Source organism: Homo sapiens, chromosome 2, assembly GCF_000001405.40.
Source record: "Homo sapiens chromosome 2, GRCh38.p14 Primary Assembly".
Lineage (NCBI taxonomy): Eukaryota > Metazoa > Chordata > Mammalia > Primates > Hominidae > Homo > Homo sapiens.
Window position 1 is genome coordinate 1898248 of NC_000002.12, and position 22538 is coordinate 1920785.

Sequence of the window (22538 nt, forward strand, 5' to 3'; positions counted from 1 at the left end):
ATGTCTCCACTAGCTGGGACCCAGTGATCTTTAGACCTAACTTGATTCAGGTCCTAATCTGTGGCACTGAGTCTCATAGTCTTTACACACGTCCAACTAGTGTTTCAAGTAAGTTGAAATACGGACGTCTAATCTTACATGGGAAAGAATGGAGCTTTCTAGCCTGTGGGATGACATCTCCAAGGCACACGGTCTACTTGCTAGAGTTGAGCTGATGTCCAAAGGGCGTCGAGGTCCAGGTTTCAGGCTCTCTTTTCCTCAGTGTCCTTGGCACAGCTACTGCCTGCCTGGCCTGCCCTGGCCCTAGAGGGTGGAGCGAATCTGCAGACCCGGCCTGTGACCTAGCAGGAGCTTGCGGCCCGTGGGAAGACAGGCCGTCTTGGCAGGTGGTACCCAAGAGGTGACACAGCCATGCTGCAGGGCAGAGTGTGGCACCGAGCTCCATGGACGCAGGCAGCTGGAGAGTGGTAGGAAGGGCCGCGGACTGCCTGCAGGAGGAGAAAACTTCACCAGGGAGCGGCCTCTGCTCAGGTAGAGAGGCCATGGGGAAGTCGGGCAGGTGGAGGGAAGAAGGGAGCTCTGCAGGCGGGCGTGGTGGGGCTGGAGACAGAGGGCCAGGGAGGTGCACTCCAGAGGAGTCATGAAGGAGAGAATGAGCTGAGTCTGCAGCTGCCCAGGCAGTCAGGGGAGTTGTCTGTGTGGCCAGGAGGGCAGGGAGCAAAGAAGAGGAAGTGCCAAGATGATAGGAAGGTCTGAGCGCTGGAGAATTTGGAAGCTGGGAATAATCAAAAGGAGAACATGGGCAGAGCCCATTTGGGGGCTGGTAACCTGACAGGATTAGGCCCCCAAGGGTGGGGTGTGTTGCCTGGAGACACAGCAAAGGTGGAGATATAATAGGCCAGGGGTTGGCAACTTTTTCTGGAGAGGATTTTGTAGCAAATGTTTCGGCTTTGGGAACTGCGCGATTGTTTTTGTGGCCACTTGGCTCTGCCCTGCACTGTGGGAGCAACCGCAGCCTGCCCGCCAAGCCCTGAGGGCAGCCAGGTGCCAACGGCACCCTATGCATGGCATGGAAACAGAATTTCACACAGCTTTTATAGATCAGAAAATATTATTTGTCAATTGTGCTTTTCTGCAATTCTTTAAAAATGTCAAAGCCATTCTTAGCTCACCATGCAAAACAGGGTGGGTGGGCTGTGGCTTGGAGTTCCCGGGAGAGGGCAGGGCCCAGACACCCAAGTGGATGCTCAGTCCTCCTCCCCTCAGCCCCTCTGTCAGCCTGCGTGGATTTCTATTTCCTATAGACAACGTGAAGCCCCTTCCTCAGCAGCCCCCGCAGCTTTCCCTGTTCTTCCTTCTCACGGGTCTCCGTCCTGGCCTCCAGACCACTGGCTGTGCTCACCATCCTGTGTGTTTCCCTACTTTTGCATGATTTCTGCTCAAACTCTACGATCTTACCTAAAGTTTGCCACTTTGGTAAAGCACACGCTAATCCTGCAGGCAGAGGGACTCCTCACTTCACTGGGCAGCAGTGTGTGTTTCACTATCTTGTGTATCCTGAGGGAAGGCATGATAGACTGACAGATGGATAGGCAGACACACAGACAGACACATAGACAGACACAGATTGACAGATGGACAGCAAGCACTGGTGTGCTGTGTCTGGAAGGATGCAGCTGGTGAAGTGAAGATTTTGTGAGTGGTTTGATCACAGCTGGTGTGATTTAAGAGATGATTCTCCAAGGCTGTAGGGAAGGTCCTATGTTTTATTTCATTCTGTATCTCCATGGCCCTGACCTTTGGTTGCTAAGATCTGTACTTTTCTCCCTTACGACAGGCCCATTTCTCTGCCTCTTTTTAGGAACAATGACTCAATTCTTTGTGCACCTGAAGCAAGTGTTGGCAAAGATACATTGAAGAGTAACTGTAGACAGCAGTCACTCTGCAGTCAGAATCTCCTACCTGGTCCCCAGGAGTGGGGCCAGATCTCCTTGGATTACACCCCATCAACAACCTACCAGCCAGTCTTGTCCTAGTGGGCACTTTCCAGGAGGCTTTTTTTTTTTCTTGAAGATGGAGTCTCGCTCTGTTGCCCAGGCTGGAGTGCAGTGGCATGATCTCCACTTACTGCAAGCTCCGCCTCCCGGGTTCATGCCATTCTCCTGCCTCAGCCTCCTGAGCAGCTGGGACTACAGGCACCCGCCACCACGCCTGGCTAATTTTTTGTATTTTTAGTAGAGACGGGGTTTCACCGTGTTAGCCAGGATGGTCTTGATCTCCTGACCTCGTGATCCGCCCACCTCGGCCTCCCAAAGTGCTGGGATTACAGGCGTGAGCCCCCTCGCCCGGCCAGGAGGCTTTTAAAATCTGTCAGATGAGTCTAGTGAAATGGAAGCAGAGTGTCACTAAAAGCCCAGACTTCACGCCCACACAATACATCCGTGTAACACTTGCGCCTCTAAAATTTGTACACAAATAAGTGGAGGGCCGGCTCATTTTCTCACTGCACTGTGGCGAGAGGCTGCATTTCCTTTGCTCTGTTTTCCTGAAGCCCTAACATTCAGCTTTCAGCCTGTCTGCTCAATAGATGCTTGTTTCTAGGGGGTCGGCTGCAAAGCATGGCTCAGCTTTAGTGTCCACAGGAGGGCCTCTGCCGGGAATGCGATGATCAATGCCAGTAACTAACATGTGATGGCGCCACAGAGTGCGTCCTCACACCCATCCTGTCTCGGCTGATCTTCACTGCAGCCTCGCAAGGTCAGCAGAGGACACTCTTGCTTCCTCTCTGCTCCAGAAGAAACCCATGGCACTAGGCTAACTTGTCCAGTAGCATCCGGCTCCTAAGAATGACACCGAAAATCTGCTCAGTGGATTTGACTTCGGGTGCCCTAAAGGCACCGTGACCTGGAGACGGCTCTGCTGGTCATGACTTCACCCAGAAGCCCCCTTTCCTTCTCAGGCTGGAGTCTGACCTTAACAATGAAGCTGAAGAAAGAAATCAGCCCACACGGAACAAGAACAACAAAAAAACAGGTGCGTAAACATGAACATCTAGTGAAAGAATGGATCAAATCCCGGTAGAACGTCAATGAATTGGAAATCATATAAGCAGCCTTCAATTAGGAGAACTTAATTTCTTTTGATCCTTCACTTGTAGATGAACAAATGAGATGACAAGAAACCTGAAATTATTACAAAACAAACAACAAAACAAACCAACAGAACTATTTCTGTTATACGCTACAGTCACTCCTTTTATCCATTTATGTCTGTTTCTGACCAATATATGATACCTCCAAGAAATACTAAATTTCATTCACTATACAAATAAATTATTATTAAGGCAAGAAATACCATAGCTTAGAAAGATGTGCAGCAATTCCTGTAGAATAATAAAAATGGTTTCTGAAGTCCCCAAGCATTCAGTTTAAATATTGTGTGTGTATGTGTACTGTGATTTTAACTAAGTACCTTTTTCTTTGTTTTTGATACAGAGTCTTGCTCTGTCCACCAGGCTGGAGAGCAGCAGCACAATATGAGCAGCTGGGATTATAGGCATGAGCCACCATGCCCGGCTAATTTTTGTATTTTTAGTAGAAACAGGGTTTTGCCATGTTGGCCAGGCTGGTCTTGAACTCTTGACACCAAGTGATCCGCCTGCCTCAGCCTCCCAAAGTGCTGGGATTACAGGCATGAACCACTGCAGCCAGCCCCAAGTATCTTTTTCAAAGAAAAGCTTGATGACCTTTTTTAAAAAACTATTTCCTTCCCCTGTGCTAGAGAGCATCATGATAAGACTTCTAAATCATCAGAACATTTACACCCCAAGTCCCAATTGGTAAAACTTGGCAATTACGTCTATACAGCCTAGAATTTAAAGCAGACACATGGTTAGATAAATAAATAAAATTAAATAAATACAGTCTTCCCCTCTAATGAAAAGCTACTTACCAACTAGCTTTGTAGTGAAATGGTAACTAGTTCATACTCTAGGTAGTGGTTCAAATAAGCATTGGTCAAAATAAACTACCCCTTTCCCATGAAGCCCGTGGCACTGTGTTTGTTGCATGAGCTCTATTTTGTTGGTGCCACAGCTGCCACAAGCCAGCAGGGGACGAAGCTACGGCTCTGCCGGCAGCACCCCAGGCTGGGCCTTGTTTTGCCCCATCGTCCCCAGTCACAGGGGGACTCCGGTGCCGGTCTTCTGTGAAGAGGCGACAAGGAGGCCACCAGCTCTGGCTACCCGGCAATCACTGGCGAACTTCTCAAGGGTGCCGTAGTGTCGTGCAGGGAGCACCCCAGGGATTCTGATTTTATTGGTCATGAGGGCAGGTTGGGCATGAGAATTAAGAAAAAAAATCTCCCCAGATGGTTCTCATGTGCGTGCAAGGCTGAGAACACCAAGGAGATGGGTGCAGAGCTCCTCAAAGCTCCCGGGAGCCCAGGGCTGCCTGCTCTCCCCTGCACTGTCTGTCTCAGAGGCATTTATTTAAAGGAAGCGTATAACATAAGGGCACTGTCTTCCCAGTACCACAAAAGACAATAAGCCAGTCCATAGCTTCTCCCTCTCCACATTCCACGAGCAGCCGAGTGCGCTGTCTCGGAATTATTGAGGGGAAACCATCTCCTTCCTTCCCCTGAAGTTTTGCTCACCTACAGCTGTGTGGACCTGAGGGGCTTTCAGCTCCTGGGCTGTGCTATGAAAGTCCTGTTCTTTTGGTACCCATTGAGTGACCACCACCGCTCAACTAATTTGTAGGACATTGATATACACAACAACAACATCATCAATGGCAACGTGTCTCTCATGTATAAGAGTGTGCACCTCCTACCATCATCATATCCTTTGGGGGATATATCCCTGGTTTGCACCTTGGGAGCTATGGCTCGCTTGCCATAAGTATGGTTGTCGTAACTGTTGTATTCAAACGAGGTCTTGGAATATTTCTCGAGCTCCTTGGCCAGGTTGGAACGCGGCGTAGTTGTGGGGACATTGTTTCTGTAGCCATACTGAGGAATCTCCAGCTGCTTCACAAAGCACATTGGCCTGGAAGTAAACAAGAAAACAAACAACAGCTTGCTTTCCTGTGGCTTTGTACACGACGAGCTTCACATTAAAACTAGAATATCTTACTTTTTTAAATGTGTTAAACAATCAGAACCTTGCACTAAAACTACAACTTTTTTATTTTCTGAATAAAAGACAAAATGTCTTTTAATTATATAGCATCAAATAAACTGCCTAACAGTCAACTTCGGCAATAAAAAAGGACAAGAAATAAAATCTTTAAATATGTCCTTTTTTCCCTCTTTCCTGTAAGAGGTCTGGTGGCTTGGTGATGACATGAGATATGAGGATGGGGACAATTCCAGTCCTGAAATTTCTTTGCAACGGTTACAAAGAGTTGCCGAATTATACACAAAGATGTTGCCTCGATAAAAAATCCCCCTTAAAAAGTAAGATGAGGTAAAGAAATACTCTTAGGGACATAGACTGAGACAGAACCAGATCAAAATGTACCTAACTGGACAATGAGGTAGGCTAGGTGGTAATGTACCTTGTCAAGTACTAGAATATGCATTCAACGTTTTTATCTAGTAGTCATTTCTTAATGTCTTTGGAATAAAATATTTAAAAGGAAGGACACTGGGTCATTGCTCACTCATAGACACCATGTCGTGTGTGTGTGTGTGTGTGTGTGCGCGTGCGCGCGTGTGTGTGTCCACCTCTTCATCGGTCTAGCTCATAAGAGGAGTTTTTAGACTTTATACTTGAAATAACTTTAGACTTGCAGAAAAGTTGTACAGAGGTTTTCTTTACACCCTGACACCAAATTCCACCAATGTGACCATCTTCATAACCGTCAGACAAGAGCAAAACCAGGCGACTAACATTAGTATGGAGTTCTTTCCTAAACCAGAGGCTGTATTTGGATCTGACCAGTTTCTCCACAGATGTCCTTTTTCTGACACAGCCATGCAGGGTCCCACAGTGCACTAAGGGTCCTGCGTTCTGTCCTCCCCCTCGACAGCTCCTCAGTCTCACCGGGCTCAAGGCTTCATGGATTGGACACTGAAGAGCTGGTCAGGTTTTGTAGAATCAGATACAGACACATTCTTTTTTTTGTTGTTGTTGTTGTGATGGAGTCTCGGTCTGGTGGTCTGGGCTGGAGTGCAGTGGCATGATCTCAGCTCACTGCCACCCCCACCTCCTGGGTTCAAGCGATTCTCCTGCCTCAGCCTCCCGAGTAGCTGGGACTACAGGCGTGCACCACCACACCTGGCTAATTTTTTTGCATTTTCAGTGGAGACAGGGTTTCACCATGTTGGCCAGGCTGGTCTCAAACTCCTGACCTCAAGTTATCCACCCACCTTGGCCTCCCAAAGTCCTGGGATTATAGGCTTGAGCCACCACGCCTGGCCATAGATGCACTGTTAATCGTAACATCCTACAGTCTCATCTGCCATCTTTGTATTTTTCTCAAGTGATTCTCCTGCCTCAGCCTCCCAGGCAGCTGGGATTACATCACGAACCACCACGCCTGGCTAATTTTTTTTTTTTTTGAGACAGAGTCTCGCTCTGTCCCCCAGGCTGGAGTGCAGTGGTGCGATCTCGGCTCACTGCAAGCTCTGCCTCCCGGGTTTACACCATTCTCCTGCCTCAGCCTCTCGAGTAGCTGGGACTACAGGCACCTGCCACTGTGCCCAGCTAATTTTTTTTTGTATTTTTAGTAGAGACGGGGTTTCACCATGTTAGCCATGATGGTCTCGATCTCCTGACCTCGTGATCCACCCACCGCCTGGCTAAGTTTTGTATTTTTAGTAGAGACAGGGTTTTGCCAAGTTGGCCAGGCTGGTCTTGAACCCTTGGCATCAAGTGATCCTTTTTCAAAAAAATACTTACAGACCTTTTCACATCAGCATCATTTTACACACTATAAAGCTAACAAAATATTGAATTTTAAAAGCAGAGAGTTTCTTGTTGAATTTTTATCATTCTAAATTATATAAAATGTATTCCAAATAAAGACCCAACCAAGCAGGAAAAAACAAAAGGTGGTGAATTCATGTATTAGTGTTAGGTTCATAGTCAGCTTAGGAAGGACAGTAATTTTTTTTTTTTTTAAGACGGAATTTTGCTCTGTTGCCAGGCTGGAGTGCAATGGCATGGTCTCGGCTCAATGCAACCTCCACCTCCAGGGTTCAAGTGATTCTCCTGCCTTAGCCTCCTGAGTAGCTGGGATTACAGTCTCCCGCCACCATGCCCAGCTAATTTTTCTATTTTTAGTGGAGACAGGGTTTCACCATGTTGGCCAGGCTGGTCTCCAACTCCTGACCTCAGGTGATCCACCCGCCTCGGCCTCTCAAAGTGCTGGGATTACAGGCGCCAGCAACCACACCTGGAGGAAGACAGTAATTTTTGAGTAAGATCCTATTTCTTGATTACTAGTATCAGTAAGATCTGCAAATATTGCCTGTACCTCTAGCACAAATGTGAAATTTTAGCAGATATATGAAATTATAATATCAGCAGGTACAAACGTGTACTGTTTAGGAAGGAAACTCTTTGGCAACTGATGTGCAAACAATATTTTGATTGTTCTCCCTGGGGATGGAAATCTGAGGGGTTTTGATTTGTTCCTTTCCTAACTTATTTTCCACAAGTATTCTTGTGTGTCTGAATAAATATATTTTCTCTTGAGTCCTTGCTCTCTTCCTAAAGGTGATGCACACAGGCACACCAAAATCATCTATACTTGCCTTACAGGTAACAGGTTTAAAACTATTGTCTTGCTTTTTTATGATTATTTTCATGATTATATTTTGCTTTTTTATGATTCACTGAAAAAATATTTAGAAGACACAAAAGCTATTTTTTAAAAAATCGCCTACAGATCTTCTAGAGACAAAAACTTTTAAGGTTTTGGTGTATTTTTTATGATTAACTTAATGCATTTTATATTTACTTTAAATAGTTAGAATCTTACACTTTTACATATTTTATGCTTCCATTTTACATGAGATTTAATTTCCCTTTTTGTTTCTCAGGCTTTAAAAACAGTTCTTAATAGCAGAATGATATTGAAATCAATGAATATTATACTATTTAACTATTTTCCAACTTTTTCATTTTGTTGCTGTTATAAATTCTGACTTAATAGGCATCCATGTAGATAATGTCTTTTTACTCTGATTATTTCATAAATTTATATTGGTTTTGGTGCAGTTACAAAGTTTTGATAACTGAATTTTTTAAGAAAAGAAAGTCAGATTTTAGACTGATAGCCATATCTATACTTTTATAGCAGTATTGGATATATATCCAATTATATATATGTAAATTGGATATTGGTTAAATATCCAATTTATTTACCAAATCACCAATACATGTATTGCGATTTCATTAATTTAGCCGATTTACTTCTTGTCAAATCAATAAAATCATGTAATAATTGACTGTCTATTGTCCTTGAGACATTTTCCCAGATAATATGATGGTACATAAATGAATAAACCTGTAGGCCTTGCTTTAAAAGATGCTGGGGCAGGCTGGGCATGGTGGCTCATGCCTGTAATCCCAACACTTTGAGAGGCTGAGCCAGGAGGATCACTTGAGCCCAGGAGTTTGAGACCCACCAGAGCAATATAGGGAGACCCTGTCTCTCCAAAATAATAATAATAATAATAAATAAATAAAAAATAATAAAAAAAATATTAGCCAGGTGTGGTGGTGCATGCCCATTGTCCCAGCTACTCAGGTGGTTGAGGCGGGAGGATTGCTTGAGCCCAGGACATCAAGGCTACAGTGAGCCATAATTGTGCCACTGTACTCCAGCCTGGGTGACAGAGTGAGACCCTGTCTCTAAAAATTTTTTTTTTAATTAAAAAAAAAAAACAAAAGACCATGGGTGATGTGATCATATTTCAAGGGTCCAAATGCTATGAGAATTCTGGAGAAGAGAGAACACTCCAGGCTATGGAATTCAGTTATGTTTGAATGGAGAAAGGGATGTTTGAAGTAAGTTTTACAGAATGGGTTGATTTTTAAGGTTAAGATCTGTGCGGGGAGTGGGAGGGGGCGGTGTGGTAAGAAAACATTCCAGGAAAAGAAACTCAGCATCCAAAGGTGAGGAGGCAAAAAAGCCAGGAGAACCCTCAGGGAATAGCAAGAGACTGGCAGGCAGCCTGGGACCAGATCAGCCCAAGGGCAATCTGTTTATTCCCCTGGCGGGGAAGGCCAAAGGCTGGGAGAAGCATAATCCCCAAGCCTTAAAAAGATCAGGACCAGATCAGAGGGAGGTAGGAGGGGAGGAGAGGCTTCAGCTAGAGGGCCATACGCCACACCCTGACAGAGGCTGCAAGTCTGGGACTGGGAAGGAGGCTATAGACTTGGCCAGGATTGGAAGCACCTACTTAAGTCTCAGGCTCTTGTTCATTGAACGATTTATTTAAAGACTTTTTGAATCGTAACTAGTTAAATGACTGTAGGTTTAACTTCATTCTCTTTTCTTCCTTCCTGTCTCTTCCTTTTCCACTGAAAGAGCACCCCTACATGGAGACCCTGTGGGGAATACAGACATGCTGGGACAGGGACTTGTCCTCCAGCTGTCACACCCAGCATGCCAGGTAAGCCCCATGGAGGCGGAAAGCCCGCAGGAGTCTCACGCAGGGCCAGTGCAGGGCCCAGCACCCAGCGCCTCCCTGAACAACCAGGAATGGCTGTGGTTGGTCAGTGTGCATTGCTGGGCTGGCCCGAGACCTCGCACTGCAGTGAGACTAGCGTCTCTTTCTTCTTGTTAAAAGCCCTGTCCTGGCCTGGTTCCCATTCCAGCCAGAGGCACAGAGGAGAACGGCTGCAGCTGCACAGTAGTTACTCCCAGCCTCTGCTCGGTTGGCATTTGGTGGGGTTTTCTTTGCACCAATCCAGAAACAGGGATGCTGCATATGAAGCCACAGGAGCAGCACAGAAGGCTTCAGGCCGGAACATCGGAGTGGAGGCTGTGTTTGAACAAAGTGGTATTCACAATTACATGCATGCCTGGTCTCCAGCTGCCATGAGCTTCTCCCTGAAATCCCCACTCTGTGCTGGCCCCCGAGAGCAGGGCAGCCTGTAGGTGGGCAGTCGTAGGTGGTCAGTGCAGCCCCCGGGAGCAGGGAAGCCCAAAGGTGGGCAGTTGTAGGTGGGCAGAGCAGTCCCCGGGAGCAGGGCAGCCCGAAGGTGGGCAGTGCAGTCACCTGGTGACTCCAAGAAAGGCCAGATACTAGAGTTCTTCCAGCTTCTTGGGGGTCTGGCCAAAGTAGGCTGAAGAAAATTCATAAAAGCCCTCAGCAACAAATTTCTCCCTACCAACTTTCAAATTCTCCTTTGACCAATAACGATTCCTTGCTGGATTACGCAGCCCCGCGGGTTGGTCTGTTTTATTGGGTGGGGGTGGTTTTCATGTTGCCAATAATTAGCTGTGGGCTGATGGGGAGAGGGAGGGTGGCCTATGAGTTGTTCAGTGTTTGGTCTTGCCATATGGAAGGTGGGTGCATTTCCCTGAAAGGGTGGCTTCCTGAGATGGGTGCTCTGGGGGCACTTCAGGCCAGGACCCCAAATGCAGAAAACTCTAGATGTAGCTGTGCCACAATTTATTGAGGAGTTATCTCTTGATAGTAGGGTCATAGATGGCTTTGTTTTCTTATTTTTGCTTAAATAAATATTTATAATTTTCTGTAAAGATTTTAACTTTTCTATTCAGGGAGGAAGGGAGTTTAATTACTACGTTAGAAGCTTCTTGGGATGTTATGAAATAATACTCAAGAACAAAAAGGATATTCATATTGTTTGCCCAGTGATTTGCTCCAAGAGATTTATCCTAAATAAATAATTTACTTTTTTATTTTTTTGAGACAGGTTCTTGCTCTGTCATCTAGGCTAGAGTATGGTGGTGCAATCACACAGCTCACAGCAGCCTTGACCTCCTGGGCTCAAATCAATCCTCCCACCTCAGCCTTCTGAGTAGCCAAAGAAATAACAGAAGCAAAGTGCTGTATATATGAAAGAAATGTGTATTATTGCCCTCTCTTTAATAGTAAAAGCAGGAAACAGCCTGAATGCCTCAAAGCTAGAACCTAGTTTTGGCACTGAGGGGTACATCTGAACAGTAGAATATACGTAGCTGTGAAGATGACAATTAAGATGATTACATAGAGACAAGGACGCGTGTTTCTGCTGTGATGTTGTGTGAAAAGGCAGGATATGTGACAATTGTCATAGTTTTCATGTAGATGAGGATTTCAAACAACACGTAAGAATGAAAGCTGTATAGAAGGGCTGAGTGAATGGGGAGCTTATCCTCCCAAAACTTCAATAAAACAGTGGTTTCAGCCGGATGATCTGCGACATTGTAACACTGATTGACCCACTGTAACATTCGGGTCAGTCATTTAACCTCCGCACTCTGGATTTTCTCACTTGCCAAACGGAGGTGACAACACCTACTCCCACCTACACCTCAGGGCATTGGGCGTAACAGGAGGGAGCTCTGCCGGTTTTGCACGCGAGAGCTTCCACACGTGTGCACAGGGTGCTCATACCCCTGGCATCGTCAGAAACATCAGCACCAGCCTTAGTTGGTGTGAGGCCCTATCCTGCAAAATATGACAAAATTACCTTGGACATCTCAGTAATTTTCAAAGCTTCCCTTTCATCTAGCACTCAGACTCATGAAATACCAGGTCCAGAAACAAAACCAGAAATGATTTCCTCCAATTCTCTCATGTAAATTGTCACAGCGAATCCGCAGACACCAGGGGAAGAATGACACCCTTGCCCTCACACAGCCTGGCCTGGAGTGAGGGGTCCTGGCCCCGGCTTCCAGCACAGCCCCGCCCTCCAGTCCCTGCCCCTGCTGCTGTAGGGACATGCCCTGAGCGGGTGTCCCCAGCGCTCCGAGGTGTGGGGCAGACTATGGATAGAGCTCACGGATGGTGCACTCCTGCTGGGTACCTGAGCACGCGGTCCGAGGCCTGGCTGGACTTGGACACGTCGCAGCTCTGGTGCTTTTCCTGTGCCTTGGCCAGTTTCTCTGCTGCAGCGATCGGGCATCCGGAGAGGCTGCAATCACAGAAAGCGGGTTGAATGGTCCCGCCTCAAACACCTTCACAGCACACTAATCCTCCCTTAGCACCAAGACCCTGATGCAGGTGGAGCTGGTGAGGGAGGGGTAGTTTCCCAAACCTGGCACAGGCAGTCCTGATGGGTGGACTGGGAGAGGGGGAGGTAGTCATGTTTCCAGGTGCATGCTTTCTGCTGGTCTCCAGCAGAGAATGCTGGCGGCAGTGCTATGTGTGAGGTGTATTCAATCCTTCCCAATGAGAGCATCCCAGCTCCCATGCATTCGGGAGGACATAGCTGGTGAAAACTGTAGACAGATTCCATTTCTGGAGATGAAGAATTAACAGCTTGGGTAGGATGAGTTTTGAAGCCCCAGAATGGCAATGAATTGACTGTTACCAGAAGATGGAGCTCCAAGCTGATTTCCTAAATGCTATTGACTGTGGCGTCTGGGGGGCCTGTCTGACTTTAGCCCTTTGGTGTTCTCCACAAGCAGGGAAATGAAAGTGGAGAGGAAAGCAGAATGATTTCTAGGACTGCAATAAAATGTTTTGTGGAGCCAAATAGTTCAGGCTTAGTCTAGACGGAGGAGACAGCAGCTGGGCTCTTTTGTGTGCAAGCTCACTTTATGTGAAATCACCGTGTCTGCTCTGTGGGTGTCTACATACGTATCTGCTCATATGCACAGACGCTCACCCCATATATGTGTCATATCCCAAAAATACGCCTGTGCTGAGGTTTGACGGAGGCCCTGACGCTGCGGATGCTGCATCGAACAGCACACAGCACGCACCTCTCCAACCTATCGATCATTTCCTGCTTCTGCAGATTAAACACCTGAATGTCTCTGGAGGGCACAGTGGTCATTTGTTTCATTATAAATGTAACACAAAGGACCAGGTTTGCCAGTCAGACAAGCAAAAATTAGAGTGAAGCTTGTAACAGTTTCCTTCTTTTAGATACAATTTTACGTGAACTCATAAAACCATAGACTGTAAGACAAACTTTAAAAGAATCACTTTTTGGCCTCTGGGAAAAAAAAAGTTATCAGATAAGAACGCAATATTATGGGCAGCTGAGTAGTTCTTATCAAGTCTGCACAGGACAGGAAAAGAGAACTCAGATCTTTCACAAACAAAAGAGTGGTTCTGAGTCCATTGGTTAGCAGGAGTCCAGAATCTATTTCCCTGGCACCCCAGCCTCCCACAGACCACCCCCCAACCTGCTAAACATCTGCAGGTTTTCTGAAGACGTCCATACTTGTGACCTGGGGTTTCCATAGAATTCCAAGGGCAGCCAAGCCAAGCTACACACTGTACAGGCGTGCTGCATTCCAGGCCACGTCCTGTCCAATGAACACTAGGACAGCCCTGTCTTCACCTCGGAGGACAGCGAAGGCTTGGTCTCCTTCCTTCCAGCCATTGTAAATGGTCATGGTTTCCACTCCTGATACTATACCCTGCTATGATAAGGTGGGTGGGGCAACTAAAACCATCCAGTTTGCACCACAAGGGCGTGGAGTGCTTTCACTCCCGTGCATTATATGGAGGTGCCCGCACTTGGGGAGCACGGTGGGGAGCACCATATGGAGCGTGGTAGGCCCCCCAGGAAGGAGAAGGCATGGAGAGCAGCCGGTGCTCCCTCCCACACCAGTGACCCACGCGTGGCTTACCTTCGGTGGGAGTTCCTGTTGCTGTTGACATGCCCGCGCCCCGTGCAGCCCGGAGTGGGGCACTTGAGGACACTTTCATGCATGGCAAGGACTTGACAGGGAGAGGCAAAGAGAACAGCCAGTGTTAAAACAGAGGCACGGTTAGGGCACATGAAAATGCAGTCATTTAACAAAGGCCAGGTCGCTCATGATAGACAGTCCTACAAACGTTTGTGATGGGCATGGCCAGGAAAACACACATGGGAGGAGAAAGAAGGTTGACTGGACCCTACGGACCCTACACGAAAGGCCAGAGAAAGAAGGTTGACTGGACCCTACAGACCCTACATGAAAGGCCAGAGAAAGAAGGTTGACGGGACTCTATGCTAAGGGCCTCACACAGCAGAGGCGCTGGAGCCAGGAGCTGGGGAGTTCAGAGAACACAGAACTGACTCTTTCCTGATGGGCTAGGGGAGCGAGGGCCTCACAGATATTACCCATGCACAAGCATGGAGTATTGATTAGCCATAGAACAACACAGAGGCTGGGGATTTTAAAAACATGCCTGTGCTTTGGAAACACACAGCATTATGAACGTGTGGTGGGTAGATGAATACAGAACCACAAACCTTAATTTTAAATAAAATGAATTAAATAATCACTCTTCCTTTAGGAATCAAGTGCTTTATTATTCTTTAAATAGGATGAGCTAGAAGAGTAAGCGTCTGCGTTTTTACCCTGTGAAATTAACAAGCGGGAGAGGCCTCTTGCATGGACACCTTTTGTGGTGCAAGGATGCTACTGGCTGGTCGGCAGGGGAGAGCTGCTTGAATTTTCCCAGCAGTGGTGTTGGACCTGAATTATTTGTGTCTTCCTTCTTTTCTGGTCCTTCATGAACGCTCTACTACTCTGGGTTCTGGGGGAAGGTTAGCAGGGACGAAGGGACCCCCACACGGACCCTGTCTGCATCATGCTCTGCTCCTCTGAGCCCGCTGTCTCCAAACTCCAGGGGAATGGGGTGGTGGCTTTCCCTGACAGCAAGGTTTACCTGAGGCCAGGTGAACATGGAAGGTCTATTCAAAACAGATCTGCCTACTCTAGTTATGTAATTGTATTTTTGACACTTTTCCTCCTTCTCTAGAACAACCTCTCTCTTTCCCCTGCAGTCTGCTGGGCACTGAATCCCACATCCACATGGTGTTGCTGTTATCTGAGTCCACACCCTGTCTTCTTACTGCTGGGCAGTCCCTTCAGCAGAGTTTGCTTTGGTATTAGCTTTATCGCTCCCACAGTTCCTGGCTTGTCCTGGATGTGGTAGGTCCTAGTAAGTGCTGTCAGAAAAATGAATGATCAAAGTGAGTCCACCTTTGGTTCATCTTGTGCTGGCACCTGGCTGGAGGGGGTCACAGGAGGGTTCCTTTCTGAGAGGATCCAAGCACAGTTCCCTGCCCCCTTCCTCCCTGTCCCAGAGGAAGAAGTGCTGCTCCTCCCTACAGGGAGGCCTCTCCAGGAAGCATGTGCGTGGTCCTCCTTCCTGCAGGATGTCGATCTACCTACTTCGTTCATTCTTTCTTCTTTATCATTTGTCCACCACCGTGTGACAACAGCACACGAATGCTTCTCTTCACACTGCTCCCCTCTGACATGTACCTGCACCTTTCCTTTCCTTTTATGGTAAACTTTTCACATGCAGTCTTCCCTGGGGATGGCACACGGGGGTCACTCTGACCTGAGGTCCAGATGGCAAGTGCACTTTACGCCTCTCTCCTGCTGTGTGGGAATGCACACTCCCAGCCTCGCCCCTGAATCCTCCTGAGGTGGAGTGTGCTTGCTATCCTTGGTCTACACTCTGCTGCTACTTCATCCATCTCAATCACATTTCTCAAACTTCTGCAGCATGTGCAGCTCCTATCCCTCTCTCCTCTTCTCACATCTGTCTCTCGGCGTCAACAAGAGGCTTTTACTCAAGAAACCCTTCCGGGCGTGGTGGCTCACACCTGTAATTCCAGCACTTTGGGAGGCTGAGGCGGGCGGATCACAAGGTCAGGAGTTCGAGACCAGCCTCACCAATATGGTGAAACCCCGTCTCTACTAAAAATACAAAAATTAGCCAGCCGTGGTGGCATGCACCTGTAATCCCAGCTACTCAGGAGGCTGAAGCAGGAGCATCACTTGATCCCACGGGGCGGAGGTTGCAGTGAGCCGAGATTACGCCATTGCACTCCAGCCTGGGCGACAGAGCGAGACTCTGTCTAAAAAAAAAACAAAAACGAAAACAAAAACAAAAAAACCCTGTGACCCCTGCAGTTCTTCCTCTCAGACACACGGGGCTTTATCAGAAACACCTTCCTCTCCTGGTTTTCTGTTTCTCTGATTTTCCTCCACCTGCTCCTGTTTCTGTGCGTCATCTTACCATACATTCATGGCCAAACTTCCCATGTATGGACCCTCCTTCATTCCTGCTTTATGCCTCCTCCCTAAGCAATTCCACCATCAGTTTCCACGAATGCTACTCCAAGGACGGTATCCAGGTAGCCACCTCTGCACCTGACCTCCCCAGGCCTCCAGAGCCACCTTCCCAAACCCTGCAGAATATCATGCAGCTCCTCCAACTCAAGTGGGAAGAATACAAGTCCCGGTTCTCCACCAAATGTGGCCCTGCTGCTCAGCTTTCTGTACAGATTATCGGCCCTGGCGTCCTTAAGTTCACCGAGGCTATAATCCCTGGCATCCTCTTGGTCTCCCCTCTTCTCTTACTCCTCACGTGTGCTGCCCTCCACAGCCTGCCCGCCTATCTCTGGATGTTTCGTGAATCTGCCCCAGCTTTTCCATTCCCACAACCACTGTCTTTTCCATGCCCTGATCTCTTGTGTGGACTTTTACAACAGCCTTTAGAAAATGCTGTGGGTTCCTCGCCTCTCACACAGGACAGCTGGAGCATCACCTCACGGCGGCCTTGGGGGCCCTGGGAGCAGTTCTCCATCCCGCCTAGACCATGCTGTGGAGTCCCCACCGTGCAGAGCCCCGGCCTCGTGCAGAGCCCCGGCCTCATGCCCATGTCCTTCTCTCAGCCGGGCTGGGAGCTCTCTGAGGGCCAGTACAGTGTCTCGGGCAATGGCGTGTCCTCAGTGGTCCTGACACAGTGTGCTGCTGGTTTCTTTATGGAATTTAGTTGGACAGAAATGATGATTAGGGGAAACTAGCCCAGAAAAAAAAAATTAAAAGCCTTCTATGGATGGAATTCTCTAATTGTTTTAGTAAATGCTTGTGGTGTTATAAAGAATCGCACAGGAGCAAAGGCTGAGAAGCCTCCTCTGTATTGTCTGGCATGCACCTGTGCCGCCCATGTCAGAGCTGACTCTCCTTGCCTCCGAGAGCGATCTGGCCCTGGGAGGCACCTGCAGCCGGCGCGAAGGGCACCTTGCCAGTCCCACTCCACAGTCCCACTTCATTTAGGCCTGTCCTGTGAAAACAGGGAGTCAGAAGAATTTCCCATCCATAAAAAGGAGCTGATAATCTACCTTGAAGGTGAAAATGTAGGTCTTATAAAACACATAAAGAAACTCTTTCTTCTTAAAACACTAGAGCTTGGTCCTCCTGCCTCACTTTGCAGATGAGGAAGATGAAGTACAGAGAGCTGCAAGGTGCTGGGTGTCACATCGTGTGTTCAGACAGAAACTGGAACACCAAACCCAGGTTTCAGAGGAGACAGACAGGCTCAGAGGTCAGTCGGATACGGATTTACATCTTAGCCCGGAGCTTACTTGAGTAAGTTAGTACCTGCTCAGATTTGTTTAAGAAGATATGGCATATCCTCAATTTGCCAGGCATTGGCTAACCTCTGGAAAGAAAGGGTGGCAGAGTCTCTGACTCTCATCTTCCTCATCCGAATGAAAGGGGGGGTGTTGCCCTGCAGTGTCGATTGCGGGTTCAGTGAACTTGTGTTTGCTGGGTGTGAGCTGCGTCCCAGCACCAAGTGTGTGCTGGGTACATGGAAGCTGTTGTCAAACCATGCTGTCTTCCTGCTCATGTAACACACGGGATTGGAGCCACTCGCTCTGATTTGTTTATTTTTATGGCTCTTCAGGCTTGTTCACAAGATGGTTACAAAACACACAAGTTTGCTATTTTGAGGAGCCATTTGAAAACCTGGAGCCATAATTGCATCTAAAGATCTTTCACTAGAAAATGTTCAGCAAAAACTTCCTAAGTCCCAAATGCTCCTGAGAACGTTTCTTTGTGCTGACAGGTTTTGCTCTCAAGTATCTCAAAGTTACCCATTTTAATGGGACAGTCCTCAAAAGGGCCTTAAAGTAGTTAACTGGTCATCTTGTCATCTCTCAAGCCATGTTATGACATGTTCCCCACTAGAAACTGTGTCTTAGACAGTAAGGGAAACTCTTCCCATGCCGTAGACTCAAAACCAGAACCTTAAACTCATATACTCATTTCTGAGAATGTGTCTTTTCCCTGAACCATCAATTCTAGCTGCGGTATTTAATTTATTGGCATACTTTATGTGCTGAAAGGATAAACAAAAAAAGATGTATATCATTTCAATTCTAAAAAAATTTAGCTATATTCATGGACTTATTCCACATGATCAGAACCTAATTAATTAAAAAGAATGCTTAAGATCAAAACCCATCTGATTTCAACCTCCTTCCTTATTGAAGAACCTATAGTGTTGAAATGTCGAGACAACTATGACATGAGACAGACTTTACAGGTGAAATGCAATAAAACTTCAGATCTAAATATGCATTTGGATGATGTACAGAAATCCAGATATTTGGGCAAGAAATGTCTGTCTCAAGGCCTCTCTCCTCTGGGATTCCTGGCAGTTTCATGCTGGAAGGGACGTCTTAGAGGCCATCGAATTCAATTCTGTAATTACGAGAAAAGATGCCTGGAAGCAACCTGCCCAAGGTCACAGAGCAGGTCAGAGCTGAACTCAGGACTAGAACCCAGGCCTGTGCAGGAGCTTTGTTAGGGGCGGTGGGCTTCATGGTGCACCACTCTCCTGGGGCTGTGCCATTGGCATGCCCACGAATCCTGGATCAGTTGCCCATCAAGTTAAGTAGGGGCCTAGTTAAATCAGGTCGCACCGAGCCGTACAATGGAGATGATGTCAGGTAAGAGGGATGACAGAGACAGAGTCATGGGTGTTTGCACCCCCAAGGGTAGCGGTGAGACGTGGACTTACTTTCTGGAGGGACCCTATCTTTGTGCGGGCATCCGGACAGGCTGCGGTGATGTGGGTACAGCCCAGTTACGTGGCCGGTTCCATCACACCCGGGGGTTGGACACTTGCTCTCTTTCTTTTCTGTTCTTGAGGGATCTAAAAGCGACAACAGGTGCCAAGAGAATAAATGTTTACCAATCAAAGACAAATGTGATTATTTCACAATCTGAAGAAACCTTGCTAAAGAAAGAAATAAAGCAGGTGTCGGGGGCTAGGCTGTGACATCAGACTTTTGCTTAGATAGTTCTTTGGTTTTGGGTGACTTTTTTCAACCTTACACAGTATAATCATGAATCATAAAGTATTTTAATTTTTATTCTAAAGAAAAGAAAAGCCTACCCCTCACCTTAACTCTGATTCATTATTTTCCCGTGTGTTACATGATAAGCTGTGTTGCTCAAAGGAATCAACGTAAATCGTGATGAGACAGTGACCTTCTTAGAGAACGAAATTCTGTGCCATCATCATTCAGCAATTTTCCATGAAATTCAACCAGAGAGTGTCATTCCATTCAAAAACTCTTTAGCTGAATTTCTTTCTTATTGAGTGCTCTGATCGCATACACTAGAAGCTGCAGGATTTTACTGACATTGAAATTTGCTCTCCGGAGGTCAAGTGACATTGTTTCGTAGCACACCAATTCAGCGCTTTTCTGAAAATAAACTGAACTCTCAGAAGGCACTGTAAGCAAATGACCAAAAAGGTGGAAAGCCCACCTGACAGAGGTGACGGGTAATCAACATGTTTCAGAAGCCACGGGAGCAGCCTTTTGTTTTGATTTCTTCATCTGTACTTGGAACCAGAGGAAGGCTCGTAGAATGCCGTGCATGCATACACAAAATTAAGAAGTAATGGGTTTCTACAGCCCTGTCGGCTTCTCTGCAAGTACCAGTCAAGGGCAAATTAGGGCAGAGCTTCGGTTAAAAAAAAATTCAATACTAGAGGCCAGAAATGTAATGATATTGCTAATAAAATTATTTCTATACCCAGAATTGACTACAGTTCATAAATATGCAATATAATAACTTCAGATAATATTTCTAAAGTAAAGCTCAGACCAAACAGTAAATCTAAGTGTGCAAAACACTGTATTTTTAGCCAGTTTTTGAAAACCAGTTGCTCAGATCACCAACAGATAGCGATTATTATTATTTAGTCCAGAAATGCAATAGTTAAATTTTCTTTAGGGATTAGTTCTTTTTGATATTCCATTAATCAGGCCAATCATGATTGCTAGAAAATACATGTTTTACTTTCAGTTAAGAATTCACTTTATATCAATAAAAGCTGGATTTAGAATTTTTTGAACTTTTACGGACTTTTCATTCGTTCAGGTGAACTTCAAATAGACAAAGGACTAGCAGGAATAGACAAATGCCATCATGTTCATATAAAAACACTCCCCTTTTCTTTTTTAGCTAGCATCTTATTCTGCATAATGTGCCTCTCCTGTACTGGAAACTCTTAAGCCAGCACTGGTGTTGAGGGAAATACCATTTGTACAATCATCCGTTACTTTCCTACCATTATGTCAAGAAGAATCTTTGAGAACAAATCTAAAATTATGTGGTTGTGGCTTCAATTTCTAATTACATTACTGAAACTTCTCTTACACCTGCAAACAAAAATGCCTAGCACTTTATTGCCTTTTCAGTAATTTCATAATAATGTTGGTATAAATTACTGTAGATATAAATCACTACAAATATAAAGTAGTAAGTGCACAGTAACAGTTTCAAAAGAAATACTGACAATCATAAACTTGAGATAAGAGATTTTGAACTAGATGTAAATGGCTAGTGGCTGGTGCAAAAAAGTGTAAGGTGTATCTATTATTCGTCCTTAAGTGACCCTATTTTACCACGACACTTAGGATTACCTAACAAAATATATGACTTCACAGATATCGAAAGTGTTGTGAAATTAAGTAGGGATTTGCATGAAAACAATGTGGCTCCAAAGCATTTTGGGTTTTGGAAGACGACAAGGGTATAGTCTCCTCTCGATGCATGAGGTCCTGGTTGAGGTGGGGTCATGCTATTTGCCTTCACCGTTACCTCCCCTTGGTTTCTTTTCTCTTGCAATCTCAAAAGCAAACATACAAGCAAACACAAAATAACCAAGCAAGCAAAGGGACCAACAATTTAACCAAACACCTTTTGCAACAACTTACAGAAAAAAAAAGTGCGCTGTTTAGCTTGCTCCCTTCCCTCTGTTAGAGCAGGCAATTGGGTAGATGACAGAGGAGGTCCATGATCCAGGCCTTTTGCATTAGCTCAAGATTTTGGAAATGTTACTCGTTGATAATTTAAATCAGTTTGAGAAGATTGTGTAGAAATGAGAATACAAGTGTTCTCTCCATTTTTAATAAAATAACAGAGTGTCTGAAAATAGAGCCTGTTGACATGCTAGTGGTTGCAGGAATTCTCTGTTGGCTGTGTTGGTGAGATAGTACCACAATTTTAGTTTTAATTTAATTTAATTTAATATTATTTTATTTTTTGAGACGGAGTCTCGCTCTGTCCCCCAGGCTGGAGTTCAGTGGCACAATCTCGGCTCACTGCAAGCTCCGCCTCCCAGGTTCACGCCATTCTCCTGCCTCAGCCTCCCGAGTAGCTGGGACTACAGGCGCCCACCACCACGCCCGGCTGACTTTTTGTATTTTTAGTAGAGACAGTGTTAGCCAGGATGGTCTCGATCTCCTGACCTCGTGATCCACCCGCACTATTTTTTTAAGGGAGTTTCTTTGCTCCACTTTGTTGGCCTTGCTTGGCTGCATGTATTTGGTTCTGAATATAACTACAGACATCTCGAAGGACATTTGGAATAATGTGGAAGACACTGACAGATACGGAAATGAGCTTTGGTCAGAGCAGGAAGACCTGGAACAGCTGGGTGAGACTGGAGTCAAGGCCTTCTGCTTACAGGAAAGTCCAAATCTGCAACCTTTCCTCCCAAGAGGGAAAAAGCACATCTCAGTTCTTACTGTTCATTCCCACCCAACCCCCATTTATACAGGGGAAGCAAGCACCTTGAATTCCATTTTCTTGCAAACAAAACAAAACAACAAAACAAAAAACAAAACGAGTCAAAATTTGCATAAAGCCGCTGAACTTAAAGGGACCAAGAAACCAAAGAAGCCACCGCAACACAGAATTTGCAAAAAGCTCAATCTGCCTTCTCTTGACACAGCACACCCTCCATTACTTCACGCCCAAACTCCATCCTCAGATTTAGGATCCGGGAGTCTAAAACATAAGCCTAAGCTCAATCAGCCTTCCCTTGACACAGCACACGCTACATTACTTCATGCCCAAACTCCATCCTCAGATCTAGGATCTGGGAGTCTAAAACATAAGCCTAAAATATATTTGTCCAACTGAGCAATCACATGAAAAGAAGACACTATTTCTTCCCCAAAATAAAAATGTTTCATTCCTGTATGATTCTCAAAAATTCAACTAAAAATTTCTAATAGATAATTTTAGCCCATCTTGTTAACGATGATGGCACTATAATTTTAAACATGCATGCTATGTTCC

General features: G+C 46.1%; 1 protein-coding gene across 33 annotated transcripts in view; it reads right to left on the reverse strand.

The window, feature by feature from the left end:
- MYT1L (myelin transcription factor 1 like) overlaps positions 1-22538 on the reverse strand; it is a 542163-nt gene that overhangs the window by 109135 nt on the left and 410490 nt on the right. For all 33 annotated transcript variants that reach the window (NM_015025.4, NM_001303052.2, XM_011510326.2 and 30 more), the window contains 4 exons: positions 18958-19092; positions 13773-13863; positions 11993-12100; positions 4833-5047 (listed from right to left, as the gene is read on the reverse strand). In NM_015025.4, the coding sequence (NP_055840.2) occupies positions 4833-5047; positions 11993-12100; positions 13773-13863; positions 18958-19092 (549 nt within the window). The remainder of the gene's footprint in view (positions 1-4832; positions 5048-11992; positions 12101-13772; positions 13864-18957; positions 19093-22538) is intronic.